This window comes from Homo sapiens, chromosome 16 (assembly GCF_000001405.40).
Source record: "Homo sapiens chromosome 16, GRCh38.p14 Primary Assembly".
Lineage (NCBI taxonomy): Eukaryota > Metazoa > Chordata > Mammalia > Primates > Hominidae > Homo > Homo sapiens.
This window is the reverse complement of record NC_000016.10, coordinates 13,984,861-13,999,806: the sequence shown is the minus strand read 5'-3', so window position 1 is coordinate 13,999,806 and position 14,946 is coordinate 13,984,861. Positions and strand designations below refer to the sequence as shown.

The 14,946-nt window shown below is 44.3% G+C and overlaps 1 protein-coding gene across 1 annotated transcript in view; it reads right to left on the bottom strand.

Moving 5' to 3' along the window:
• The window catches only part of MRTFB (myocardin related transcription factor B), a 272,006-nt gene extending 266,973 nt beyond the window's left edge, over positions 1 to 5,033 (bottom strand). The window contains exon 1 of the mRNA XM_047434393.1: positions 4,895 to 5,033. The gene's annotated coding sequence lies outside the window, so the exon portion shown is untranslated. The remainder of the gene's footprint in view (positions 1 to 4,894) is intronic.
• Positions 5,034 to 14,946: the final 9,913 nt, after the last annotated feature.

Sequence of the window (14,946 nt, the reverse complement as noted above, 5' to 3'; positions counted from 1 at the left end):
AAGAGCATTTAACTGGTGGAGGCCACTAAAACCTCCAGCAATAGGCCTGGCTTCAGGCGAGGCTCGATCCTGGGGCTCAATGGCTTCACAAGGACACAGCGTTCTCCATCTCTCGCTCTACCTTCTGTGGTGTTGGCTTCATCCTCAGGCACCATGCGATGCTCCCCCACAGCCCCTAACAGTTCCAGAATCTTCCCCATGGTCACAAATGCCTGCAGTGGTTCTAAACTTTGCATCTTTATACTGATGGCTCCCATGCAAAAGAGAGAAAGCTTTTTTTTTTCTTTCTTTCTTTTTTTTTTTTTTGCCAGAAGGCTCTAGACGATGTCTTCTTGAGTTTCACTGGCTCTGACTGGGTTCTGTGCCCATCCCAGAGCCAGTCACTTTGGTGTGGAGATAGGAAGTGAAAAATATTTCTGACTAGCTTGAGCCAAATCCTATTCCCAAGAACAGGAAAGCAGTGGCTTCCTGAAGGGCATTGTCCCCAAAAGGAAAGAAATATGCTGAGCCACAAGCAGCGACCTGTTATATGGTTTATTCATTTTGCAGTTTCATCCTCTCCTACCCAGGAAAGCCTCTGAGGTTAGAAGTGACTGTTCTTTTTTTTTTTTTTTTGGAGACAGAGTCTTACTCTTATCTCCCAGGCTAGAGTACAGTGACGAGATCTCAGCTCACTGCAACCTCCACCTCCTGTGTTCAAGTGATTCTCGTGCCTCAACCTCCCGAGTAGCTGGGACTACAGGCACATGCTACCACGCCTGGCTAATTTTTTGTATTTTAGTAGAGACAGGGTTTCACCATGTTGCCCAAGGTGGTCTTGAACTGAGCTCAGGCAATCTGCCTGCCTCAGCCTCCCAAAGTGCTAGGACTATAGGTGTGAGCCCCCATGACCGGCCTTTTTTTTTTTTTTTTTTTTTTTTTTTTTTTTTTTTTTTGAAACAGAGTCTCACTCTGTCACTCAGGCTGGAGTGCAGTGGCATGAACATGGCTCACTGCAGCCTCAACCTCCCAGGCTTAAGAAACAGGCCAATATTAATTTATTATCATTTTTCTTCCTTCTCCTTGTTCCTCCTCCTCCTTCTTCTCCTGTCTTCTGTCTTCCTTCTTCCCTCTTCCTCTTCTTCCTCTTCCTCCTTCACCTTCTCTTTCCCCTTCTTCTTCGAGACAGGGTCTTATTCTGTGGCCCAGGCTGGAATGCAATGGTGTGATCATAGCTCACTGCAGCCTCAAACTCCTGGGTTCAAGTGATCCTTCTGCCTCGGCCTCCTGAGTAGCTGGAACTACAGGTGTGCAACTTCATGCCCAGCTAATTTTTAAAAATTTTTGTAGAGGGTCTTGCTATGTTGCCCATGCTGGTCTTGAACTCTTGACCTCAAGAGATTCTCCTGCCTCCCAAAGTGTTGGGATTATAGGCATGAGCCACTGTGCCTGGCCAATTTCTTTTCTTTCCATCTGTAGGTTTACCTGGGGCTCTAAGTTCTAAGAATCCCAGGTCTGTTACTCCCAAAATTTCACTGAGGCCACAGATCTACCCCGAGGTAGATCAATAAGTTCAGGTTGAAGTGTCATGTTTTCACCTGCCAAAGGCTTCCTCTGCATTCAAAATAAAATTCGCACTCTACACCTGGCCTGCCTACGACTCACCCCCTTGCTGAGTTGTAGCCACACTCATTTCTTGTTATTTATTAAGCCAACCTGCTGCACGCCTCAGAGGCTTCTACTTCCTGTTTCCCTGTGTCTAGAATGCTCTTCCTTTAAATCTTTGCACAGCTGCTACTCAAATGTCACGCTCTCTGAGAGGTCTCTGACAAGTCTAGCATGTAAAACCACTTGAAATTATTGTGTTTGTTGATGGTTTGAGTATCTCCCTCCTTTCTCTAGACGGTAAGCTCCATGAGGCAAGCATCATGCTTGTCTTACTCACCTGGTTCCTGGTTCTGTGTCTAGCACAACGTAGGTACTCAAATGTTTGTTGAATAAATGAATGAAAATTCTTTTTTTTTTTTTTTTTTTTGAGATAGGGTCTTGCTCTGTCACACAGGCTGGAGCGCAGTGGTGCAAACATGACTCACTGCAACCTCCGCCTCCTGGGCTCAAGCTATCCCCCTATCTCAGCCTTCCAAGTAGCTGGGACTATAGGCACATGCCACCATACCCAGCTATTTTTTTTTTTTTGGTACAGATAGAGTCTCACTGTGTTACCCAGGCTGGTTTGAACCCCTGGGCTCAAGTAATCCTCTTGCTTCAGCCTCCCAAAGTGTTAAGATTAAAGGCATGAGCCGCCACGCCTAGCTGAAAATTCTTTTCTGAATGTCCTTGTAAACTTTTTCAGGGCAGGGCAATTTCTTACATTTTTCTTGGCTTTTACTTGGTGCCTACAAAACACTGGGCATAAAAGAGACAAAATACAATAGTATTTTTTCAAATAAACTAAAGCTCTCTGCTGAAGGGATTGGCTCAAAGTTGCCCAATAAACTAAAGCTCTCTGCTGAAGGGATTGGCTCAAAGTTGCCCTCACATTAGTACAGAAAGATACTACATGATGCTAACTGCTTCTTTGAGAATTTTCTTTCCAAAGCCATTGCATGTGAACATTTGAGATGCCCCCCATGTCTGCGTGAAACTGCAGAGGGGAACGTGGGGCCATCTTTCTATCCTGGTCTCTGAGTGTGGTGATAGAGCCACCATATACAGGCAAACGTCTGAAAATGATGTCATGGGATGATGCTCTTGTTTACTCCTTTACCCAAATGAGGTAGAATGAGAAGAGTGTCTTTTTATCTGTCACGCTGTCCACTGCAAACCCGAAAGTCAAGGTCACAACCCTAATGTGCTGATCACGCAGGTGGAACCCTCATTTGTGGGCCGAACTCTCCCTGAGACCTATCAGCCTGTGACAGTCCTCAAGACAATCAGGTGAGAGTGTGGATGGCCCCACGCGGCTAATAGAAACTCAAAAGCACACCTTCTACAGAGAGCCGTCGGTTGTCCCTGTACTCAACAGAAAACACACCACTGGGGGCATCTCAAGTATGCCTAGTCTTCATCCATTCTCTGCCTACCCAACCAGGCCTATCCCTCTCTTAGACTCTCACATGGCCCCTTGACCTTTGTCTCACGAGCTCTCCATCATTTGTCATGCTATCTTTATGTAGGTGATTATTTCATTAATATCCATCTTCCCCATTGGACTCCAAACTACTCAAGGGCAAGGCGCAATCTCTTTTGCTCACTGCTGTATTTTGTCACCCAGTCCTGTGCCTAACACATGGACCATGCATCATAAATACTTTTTGAATGGAAGAATGGATGAATGGAAGAAAGAAGGGAGGCTAAATGTTTTCTCTGTCAGGTATCACCTCACCACCACCTTGTCCCTTTCATCAAGGTGTCTCCTGTGCCCACAGTAGTATCTGGCATAGAGTAGAGGGGCCACAGATATTGACAGAAATGAATGAATGGACACTGATCTTTGCCTTCTCAGAGAAGCCTGGTTACCTTCTTTTTTTTTTTCTTTGTTGTTGTTGTTGTTGTTGAGACAGAGTATCACTCTGTCACCCAGGCTGGAGTGCAACGGCACGATCTTGGCTCACTGCAACCTCCGCCTCCTGGGTTCAAGTGATTCTCATGCCTCAGCCTCCTGACTAGCTAGAATTACAAGTGTGTACTACCATGCCTGGCTAATTTTTGTATTTTTAGTAGAGATGGGGTTTCACCATGTTGGCCAGGCTGGTCTCGGACTCTGGACCTCAGGTGATCTGCCCACCTTGGCCTCCCAAAGTGATAGGATTACAGGCATGAGCCACCGTGCCCGGCTGCCTGGTTAACTTCTTAAGGATAAATGTATGGAAAGGGAGAATGAGGGGAAGCTACATGATATGGTTTGGCTGTGTGTCCCCACCCAAATCTCATGTGGAATTGTAATCCTTGATGATGGAGGGAGGGGTCTGGAGGGAGGTGATTGGATCATGGGAGCGGTCATCCCCCTTGCTGTTCTCATGAGTTCTCACTAGATCTAGTTGGTTAAAAGTACATGGCACTTCCCCCTTCACTCTCTTCCTCCTTCTCCAGCCAGGGATGATGTGCCTGCTTCCCCTTCACCTTCTGCTGTGATTGTAAGTTTCCTGAGGCCTCCCCAGCCATGCTTCATGCACAGCCTGTGGAACCATGAGCCAATTAAACCTATTTTCTTTAAAAATTACCCAGTCTCAGGTAGTTCTTTATAGTAGTGTCAGGAAGGACTGATACACTTCAATATACGAATATACTGAACCAAGCCCAAAGGCTGCATTTAGGTCACTCCCTTCAGAATCAATGGGGCCAGTTCTTGAGGTCACTAAACCATCAGACCAGCAAGGGAGGAGCTTAAAGTGCAAACTGAACTTGTTTGCAAGAGACAATGCTCCTTTGGACTCAAGTGCAACCAGTTCTGGGGTTAGATGTTTAAAGTTTAAGTGGGTCATGGCTCCTGGTCCTTATCACATAGCCTGAAAAAAACAAAACAAAACAGCATCTCAGGAATGGTATCAGACCTTAGAAGATAACCTGACCCCAGTTTCTGCTACCAAGTCAGAAGGATACTGAAAAGGAATGGATTTTGCTTCTCCAAGGCCATGGCCTCCTTACTGGGGGACATCTGAGTCCCAACGAGGTCTCTTTTTATCCGAAGATCAACCAACGAAGGGCTGGAGATATTCAGTCTTTGTCAATCATTTGTGGATGACAAAGAGTTTACAGATCTGTTCTGCAATCACCAATCCAAAACCAAACACCAAAAAAAAAAGTAAATAAATAAACAATCCCCAAACCGTACTGAGAAACCATCATAAAACCAAATCTCCAAACACGTCTGGGTTTCAAGCCCACCCTAGCCCAGCAGACAAAAGTGGCTCACCTTTGAACTACAGAATCCCTTCCAGAACCAGAAGGAAAGGGAAAGGGGTTTACGGGTCGTCTCAGAGTTGTAGGCTCTGGCTGGTGCCCAAGATGAGTTCATTACTTATTCTTAGAGACTGGACTCAAATTAAACAAACAGCACCTATAAATAGAGTGAGGATACGCTCAGCTTGGTGTCACTGGAAGGTCCTTTTTGCAGGGACAGACGTGCTAAACGGATGTTCTCGGGTTACCCTGCTGGTACTACGTGGGGGAAGAGTTGTACTTTTTTTTCCCCTGTGTTGTCCAGGAGAGGGGAAAGAAGCAGGTGAGTCAGACTTTGGGATTCAGTTCGATTCTGTCTTCATCTCTAAATGCTCATTCACATGCTAAGTTAGAATGAGCTGCAGAGGAAGGATGCCACTCTGCAAGACGACCTGGCTGAGCAATTTGGCTGCTCCCCCTGGGAATGGATCCTGGTTCAGACTGCATTGACAGAGTGTTCTGGTCTTTTAGATTAGATTGCAAACTCCCTATGGGAAGGCACCAAGTACTAGGATTTCCTCTTGGCTTCCCTGTTCCTGCCAAATGCAGGAATGGATAGGGTTTCCATGGCGGGTCCTGAACTGTGAATTAAAAGGACCTCGCTATGCACGCTGATCTTTACAGTGGGAAACAATATGGGCCCATGTTCCAGACCTGGTGTGGCTTTGGTTTTAATCATGCTGAAGAGCATGATTGGGAGGCGGAGTCATCACATCACCGTGATAGACGAGCGGGGGCAGAAACCCCTGGAATAACTGTGAATAAATACAAAGCCATGGGGCAACAAGGTCAACTCACTATCATAATAACCAGAGTCCATAACACTGATTCAGCCCTTGACGGGGAATTCTAGGCACTATTCTAAGTGCTTTGTAAAAACTCACTTATGGGCTGGGTGCTGTTGTTTATGCCTGGAATCCTGGCACTTTGGGAGGCTGAGGTGGGAGGATCGCTTGAGCTCAGGAGTTCAAGACCAGCCTGGGCAACACAGAAAGACCCATCTCTTAAAAAAAAAAAAATTTAGGCTGGGTGTGGTGGCTCACGCCTGTCATCCCAACACTTTGGGAGGGCAAGGCAGATGGATCACCTGCGGTCAGGACTTTGAGACCAGCCTGACCAACATGGAGAAACCCCGTCTCTACTGAAAATACAAAATTAGCCAGGCATGGTGATGCCTGCCTGTAATCCCAGCTACTTGGGAGGCTGAGGCAGGAGAATCGTTTGAACCCAGGAGGCAGAGGTTGCGGTGAGCCAAGATCATGCCATTGCACTCCAGCCTGGGATACAAGAGCAAAACTCTGTCTCAAAAAAAAAAAATTTGTTTTTAATTAGCTGGGCATGATGGTGTGCATCTGTAGTCCCAGCTACTCAGGAGACTGAGGCAGGAGGATCACATGCAGTGAGCCATGGCCACACCACTGCACTCCAACCTGGGCAACAAAGCAAGACCCTGCCTCAGGCAAAAACAAACAAAACACTAAAATAAAAGAAAATAAAAACTCATTTACTCTTTCCAAACCCCTATGAGGTAGGGACTCTATTATTATTTCTATTCTACAGATGCAGAAACCAAGACACCAAGAGATGATGTGCCTTGTGCCAGCCCACACAGCTGGGAAGCCAGGTTTGGAAGCCAGGCAGTTTAGCTCCAGAGTCCGGTCTCTGATAGTAAAAATTAAACATGTAGAGTAGCTATCTGTTGGTTTTCCTGTCCGGCAGCCTTCCTCCCTCCCTGGATGATCACAGGTCTCTGGACCACCTCTTACTACTCTCAGCCGGGTGGTTCTGGTGCCTCGTCTTAGAGGGGAGCCCTAACTAGTCTTGACCCAAGCCTGCACCTGCCCATCAACAGGTCTTACAGGCATGGCCATGGGACATACATATGGCAATTGCAGTGAAGTCTCAGGACTTTAACTGGGAATGCTAGGATGAAGACGCACTGGATTTCCCTCTGGATTTGAACTGAGAGCAGGCAGCTCTGAGAAGTGCCGTGGCTACCTTGCTACCCCAGCAGGAACCTGGCTGAGAATGAAATCAGTACTGAGAGGAAGCAGCATTGAAAAACAGATCTTGGTGGCATCCTTTGAAGCCTGAATCCAGCTAGACCTGGTGCTGGAACCCAGGCTTCAACTTTGCACTTTCATGAGCCAATATTTTCCCTCTGCTTTTCAGGCTGGTTAAAGTTGATTGGCTCAACTAACATCCTGGCTCCATCCATAAAACGACAGTCCATTCTCACCCGCTTCTCTAGCCCTGTTGGGCTGTTCAGAAATGCATGCACTGGCCAATGCAGTGGCTCACCTGTAATCCTAGCACTTCTGGGAGGGAGAGATGGGAGGATTGCTTGAGGCCAGGAGTTCGAGACTAGCCTGGTCAACATAGCAAGACCCCATCTCAAAAAATGTTTTAAAAATTTTAGGCCAGGCACGGTGGCTAACGCCTATAATCCCAGCACTTTGCAGTGAGCAGACATTGTGCCACTGCACTTCAGCCTGGGTGACAAAGTGAGACTCCGACTCCAGAAAAAAAAAAAAAAAAAAAAATAGCCAGGCATGTTGGTGGTTGCCTGTAATCCCAGCTAGCCTGGGAGGCTGAGGCAGCAGAATCGCTTGAACCAGGGAGGCGGAGGTTGCAGTGAGCCGAGACTGTGCCGCTGCACTATAGCCTGGGCGACAGAGCATGACTCCATCTCAAAAAAATAAATAAATAAAATAAAAAGAGAGAGAGAATTTATAAGGAGTTTTCTCTTTTTTTTTGCAAATACTTTGCTGTCCTTCACCTACTAACAAACATACACAAAGGTGGGGGTGTTTAGCCCCTATTCCTGCACCTTAAGTCTGGTGAGAGCAGCTTCTCTGAGAGGCTGTGGAGAGTTTGATCAGTTTGCCATAATCTAATGAGTCGAAATCATTTATTTTGATTAAAACTAATTACCAATTCAATCGATTCTAATACTTTTTGGGTTCATTCGTAAGCTAAAGCTAAGATTAGAGAAAGGGAAGTGACTATGGGGGCTGCGTGTGACTCAATCCTGAGCACCTGGAGTGGGAGAGACTGTGGCTAGGAAGCTGACATTGGCTTGCACCCCCAAAATTTGTTGTGGCAGAGTATGTTTTGTAGGGACCATCTTGGCAGATGGATCATCTTAGATATTGTCCTATGGGGTGGCTTAGAAGGGTAATAAGCCCTCATCAAAGGCTGGAGGGGACCACCAGAGTCCTGGGGGTGTGGAGGGATTCCTGGGGTGGCCTGAGGTACACTGTCCCAGAACTGGGGCCTCTCTAGGTATCCAAACATTACCCCGACAGGGTACCTGATCATACCCACAAGGTGCAACACCATATTTTTTTCTTGCCAGATTCAATGATTATCTAGATTTTTATTTCAATAGTTTTTGGGGAACAGGTGTGTTTTCATTACATGGATAAGTTCTTTAGTGGTGATTTCTGAGATTTTGGTGCACCCGTCACCTGAGCAGTGTACACACTGTACCCAATGTGTAGTCTTTTATCCCTCACCCACCTCCCACCCTTCCCCTCGAGTTCCCAAAGTCCATTATGTCATTCTTATGTCTTTGCATCCTCATAGCTTAGCTCCCACTTAGGGGTGAGAACATATGATGTTTGGGTTTCCATTCCTGAGTTACTTCACTTAGAATAATGGCCTCCAAATCCATCAAAGTTGCTGCAAAGGCCATTATTATGTTCCTTTTTCTGGCTGAGTGGTATTGCATTAACGCTGGAATACTGTGTGCATGTGTGTATATATACACACACACTATATATAAAATGTATATATATTTTATAGATATACATTTTATATATCTATATATCTATATATGTATATATTATATATTATATATATTATATATTCATGCCTGTAATCTGAATTTTATATATATTATATAATATATAATAAATAATATATAATATATAATATACATATCTATATATGTATATTTTATAGATATACATTTTATAGATATACATTTTATTATCTACATTTTATAAAATGTATATACATTTTATATCTATAAAATGAATATAGATATATCTATATATAAAATATATATTATATATTTTATATATTATTATATATATTATTATTATATATTATTTTATATATTATTATATATAATATATACTACATATTATATATATAATTATTATATATAAAATATATATAATATATATAATATATACATATATGTATATATTAAATATATACATATATACATATTTATATATGTATATATTAAATATATACATATATATGTATACATTAAATATATATGTATATATTAAATATATACATATATGTATATACGTGCATATATGTATATATACATGTATATGTGTATATATACATACACGTATATATGTGTATATATACATACATGTATATATGTGTATGTATACGTATATATGTATATAGTACATATATTTGTGTGTATATATATAGCACATATATATATTGTGTGTGTATATATATATATTCTGGAGCCTGTGTTCCTCACCATTACACTGTACTCAGAACATGGTACCTGGAAACCCATGGCCACCTTCCTCTTGGGGTACCAAGCCAGCATGGAGTTAGCTGCTGCCATGCTGTATTCATGAAAATGGACCCTTGTTTTGTTTTGTTTTGTTTTGAGACAGGGTCTTGCTCTGTCACCCAGGCTGGAGTGCAGTGACATGACTCGGCTCACTGCAACTGCCACCTCTAGGGTTCAAGCGATTCTCGTGCCTCAGCCTCCCAAGTAGTTGGGACTACAGGTATGCGCCACCAAGACCAACTTACTGTCACCTTTTTATGGGTTAGGAAACTGAAGCTCAGAGATGAAGTGCCTTGACCAAGGATACATTGTTAATAAATTGAACCAAGGCAATTTGAATCCCAGGCCTACATTCTCAACAGCTACCTTAGAGTTTTCATTGAGATACTGTTTATTTTTATTTATTATTATTATTTTTGAGACCAAGTTTCACTCTTGTTGCCCAGGCTGGAGTGCAATGGCGTGATCTGGGCTCACTGCAACCTCCGACTCCCAGGTTCAAGTGATTCTCCTGCCTCAGCCTCCCAAGTAGCTGGGATTATAGGCATGCACCACCACGCCCAGCTAATTTTGTGTTTTTAGTAGAGGTGGGGTTTCTCCATATTGGTCAGGTTGATCTCAAACTCCCGATCTCAGGTGATCTGCCTGCCTCGGCCTCCCAAAGTGCTGGGATTACAGGCATGAGCCACGGCGCCTGGCTGAGATACTGTTTATTATTATCATTATTATTATTATTTTAAGAGAGTCTCCCTGTCACCCAGGCTGAAGCGCAGTGGTACAATTCATAGCTCGATGCAACCTTAACCTCCTGGGCTCAAGCAATCCTCCCACCTCAGTCTCCAGAGTAGCTAGGACCACAGGGGCACCCCACTATGCCCAGCTATTTTTTGTTGTTGTTTGGTAGAGACAGGGTCTCACTATATTGCCCAGACTAATCTCAACCTCCTGGTCTCATGTGATGCTCCCACCTCAGCCTCTCAAAGTGAGATTACAGGCATGAACCCTGTATTCAGCCCTTGTTTATTATTAATGGATTTTTTAGACATCCCCACTGGGGGAGTAGAAGAACAACTTTGGCAGGTGGCTTTGCTTGATCCTGTAATGGGATAGAGCTCATGCTAGAGAGACTCATGTCATGGTTAGTAAGTTCTATGGAATATTAGTGCCTTCCTGAGACTGGGGTCCATTGATGATCTCCTGAAAGGTAAGAAGACCCCTCTTCCTGTCATCGCCTTTATAGCTACAAATCATATTTCTCTGCCCACCCCCATCTCATGCACCGTGGTTTTCCTCTCAAAAAGTCAAGACCATCTTCCAAACACTGAGAGTCCTATGTGATTGGATTTGATCAAGTCAGCTTCTTAACTGGAAATTGGCAAAAACACTGGGAGAGGGTCCATTTTCATTTAGAGGGTGCAGTGGCTCCCGCCTGTAATCCTAGCACTTTGGGAGGCCAGGGCAGGCGGATCACTTGAAGTCAGGAGTTCGAGACCATCCTGGCCAACATGGCGAAACCCTGTCTCTACTAAAAATACAAAAATTAGCTGGGTGCAGTGGCGTGCACCTGTAGTCCCAGCTGCTCAGGAGGCTGAGGCAGGGGAATCGCTTGAATACAGGTCTTGAACTGTTGCAGTGAGCTGAGATCACGCCACTACACTCCAGCCTGGGTGATAGAGCGAGACCCTGTCTCAAAACAAAGCAAAACAAAAAGGTGATAGTACCTTCCTCTTAGTATTTGTGAAAGTCAATAGATTATTTACAAATATTCCAATTCCCCTTCCCGTTTAGGTACATGATAAAGTTATTATTATAGTTTTTGCCTACTCTGAAGTTAAGTATTACTATGTGACTCACTGGCCAGTGAAGTGAAGATGAAAGTAACTTCTTGCTACTGGGTAGAAGCTTTAAGAGCTGGTGTGAGGTGTGCCTTTTCCTACTTCAGCAGTTTCCATTAGGCTGGGTTTCTGAGTGTCTCTGATGAGCGCTGTTCCTCCTTCCCAGTTCTAATAATCACTAGACATGCAGCAGAAGTAAGAAGTAAACCTTTGTTGTTTCAAGCCTCTGATGCTTGGGGATTGTTTGTTATCACAGCATAACCTAGTCTACACTGACTAACACAGTGTGGAGGATTAGATATAGAAAATGATGTACAGCTAAGATACCTTTATACAGACACTAGGATGGCTGTAATAGGCTGGGCATAGTGGCTCATGCTCATAATCCCAGGATTTTGGGAGGCCAAGGTGGGAGGATTGCTTGAACCCAGCAGTTCAAGACCAGCCTGGGCAACATGGTGAAACCCTGTCTCTACAAAAAAAATACAAAAATTAGCCAGGTGTGGTGGTGCATACCTGTAGTCCTAGTTACTTGGGAGGCTGAAGACGGAGGATCATTGGAGCCCAGGAGGTTGAGGCTACAGTGAGCCGTGATCACGCCACTGCACTCCAGCCTAGGCAACAGAGCAAGACCCTGTCTCAAAATAAATAAATAAATAAATAAATACAAGAATAAAAATACAAAGAATGGCTCTAATAAAAAAGACATGGTACCAAATGTTACCAAGGATGCAGAGAAACTAGAATCCTCATATGTTGTTGTTGAGAATGTAAAAAATGGCACACTCACTTTGGAAAACAGTTTGACCATTTCCTAAAAAGTTAAATGTAAGTTTCCTATACAACCAGCAGCTCCACTCCTCGGTATCCATTCAAAAGAAATGAAAACATGGCCGGGCGCGGTGGCTCACGCCTGTAATCCCAGCACTTTGGGAGGTCGAGGTGGGTGAATCACAAGGTCAGGAGTTGCAGACCTGCTTGACCAACATGGTGAAACCTTGTCTCTATTAAAAATACAAAAATTAGCTGGGCATGGTGGCACGTGCCTGTAATTCTAGCTACTTGGGAGGCTGAGGCAGGAGAATCATTTGAACCCAGGAGGCGGAGGTTGCTGTGAGCTGAGATCACGCCACTGCACTCCAACTCCAGCCTGGGTGACAGAGCAAGACGCTGTCTCAAAAAAAAAAAAAAAAAAAAAAGGTCGGGTGCAGTGGCTCGCGCCTGTAGTCCCAGCACTTTGGGAGGCCGAGGCAGGTGGATCACAAGGTCAGGAGTTTAAGACCAGCCTGGCCAACATGATGAAACCCCATCTCTACTAAAGATACAAAAAATTAGCTGGGAGTGGTGGCGCATGCCTGTAATCCCAGCTACTTGGGAGGTTGAGGCAGGAGAATCACTTGAACCTGGGAGGTGGAGGTTGCAGTGAGCCGAGATCGCACCATTGCACTGCACCCTGGTGAGACTCTTATCTCAAAAAAAAAAAAAAAAAGAAAGTAAAAAGAAATGAAAACGTATGTCATTAGAAAAAACTGTAGGTGAATGTTCACAGCAGCATTATTCATAATAGCTAAAAAGCTGAAACAATCCAAATGTTCCTCAACTTGTGAATGGATATACAAATGTGATATATTCACATAATGGAATATTATTCACCAATAAAAAGGAAGCTACCACCTAGACGAATCTCAAAAACATTATACTAAGTGAAAGAAGCCTGGTGCAAAAGAATTGAATATTGCATGATTCAGTTGCTATGAAATTTCCAGAAAAGACAAATTTGTATAGCCAGAAAGCAGATCACTGTTGCCTGGGGCTGAGGATGAGATAGGGGATTGACTGCAAACAGGTTTGAGAGAGTTTCTGGAGGTGATGGAATATTCTAAAACTGGATTGTGGTAACGGCTATACAACCCTATACATTTTCTGAATATATTTGAGTTGTATACTTTTTTTTCTTTTTAGATAGAGTCTCACTCTGTTGCCCAGGCTGGAGTGCAGTGGCACAATCTCAGCTCACTACAACTTCCACCTCCCGGGTTCAAGCAATTCTCCTGCCTCAGCCTCCCGAGTAGCTGGGATTAGAGGTGTGTGCTGGGATTAGAGGTGCACCTGGCTAACTTTTTTGTATTTTTAGTAGAGACAGGGTTTCACCATGTTGGCCAGGCTGGTCTTGAACTTCTGACCTCATGATCTCCCCACCTCAGCCTCCCAAAGTGCTGAGATTACAGGTGTGGACCACCACACCTGGCCAAGTTGTATACTTCTAATGGGTCAGTTTTACAGTATGTAAATTGTATCCTAGCAAAGCTGTTGGAACAACACTTAAGTACAATATTTGGCACATAGCAAAATCTCAGTAACTGTTTGTTATTATCAATCATTTTGGGAATGAAATGCTATGGTTGAGATCTTGTAATGAATTGATTAGGCGTGATCTGCATTCAATGAAGGGAGGCCTGGCAGTTGGGGATGGGCAGAGACCACTCTTCTTCCATCCCCAAATTTTGTATTTCTTCTTTTCTGACCACCACATGCAAAAGACCAGTGGAGATGTACATTGTCCTGCATCAAGCTCCAGTTAGAGACCAGCCAGATCAGGATGCCCCAGTCCCTTGCAATTTTTTTTGAGCTCTCATGATGCCTTGAGATTGAGCCTTTTTGAGATATTACAAGCAGACTCAATCTGGTTTGGCTGAAATGTGTGGGAGGCCAAGGTGGGAGGATTGCTTGAACCCAGGAGTTCAAGACCAGCCTGGCAACATGGTGAAACCCTGTCTCTATAAAAAAATACAAAAATTAGCCAGGCATGGTGGCATTCACCTATGGTCCCAGCCACTTGGGAGGCTGAAGTGGGAGGATTGCTTGAGCCCGGGAGATTGAGGCTGCAGTGAGCTGTGATCACTCAAAACCATTTGAGGATGAAAAACCATTTGAGGATAATGGTTTATCCTCAATACTGACAAGGACGATTAATATTTTCAACCAACTCTCATCATACGTTCCCTTTTGACTTCTTAATGCTCTTTATTTGATTTGATTTTATTTTTGAGACACAGTCTCGCCCTGTTGCCCAGGTGGAGTGCTGTGGCACGACCTCAGCTCATGGCAACCTCCACCTCCCAGGTTCAAGCAATTCTCCTGTCTCAGCCTCCGAGTAGCTGGGACTACAGGCGCGCACCACCCTACCCAGCTAATTTTTAATATTTTTGGTATAGAGGGGGTTTCGCCACATTGGCCAGGCTGGTCTCGAACTCCTGACCTCAAGTGATCCACCTGCCTTGGCCTCCTAAAGTGCTGGGATTACAGGCGTGAGCCCTCGCGTCCAGCCCTTAATGCTCTTTAGTAAGTCCTTATATCAATCTCACCACAGCCAAGAGGAGAGAAGAGATGGCTGAGGAGGTTATGGTTGCAGGTAGGGGTTGTTTCTCGTGACAGGGTGTTAGAAACGCACTCAGTGCATAAGATTGTCCTTCATTTACAGCCATAGCATTCCCAGGCTGGCTGATGCAATTCCAAACAAGAGCCACTTAGGCCCCAGGGTCCCCCAGATAAGACTAAATTGATTCTGGAAGTGGGATGAGTGGGGAAGGGTCTCACTTTCCATCGTTGCTAGAAAGATGAAGTTCAGTCCTTCGC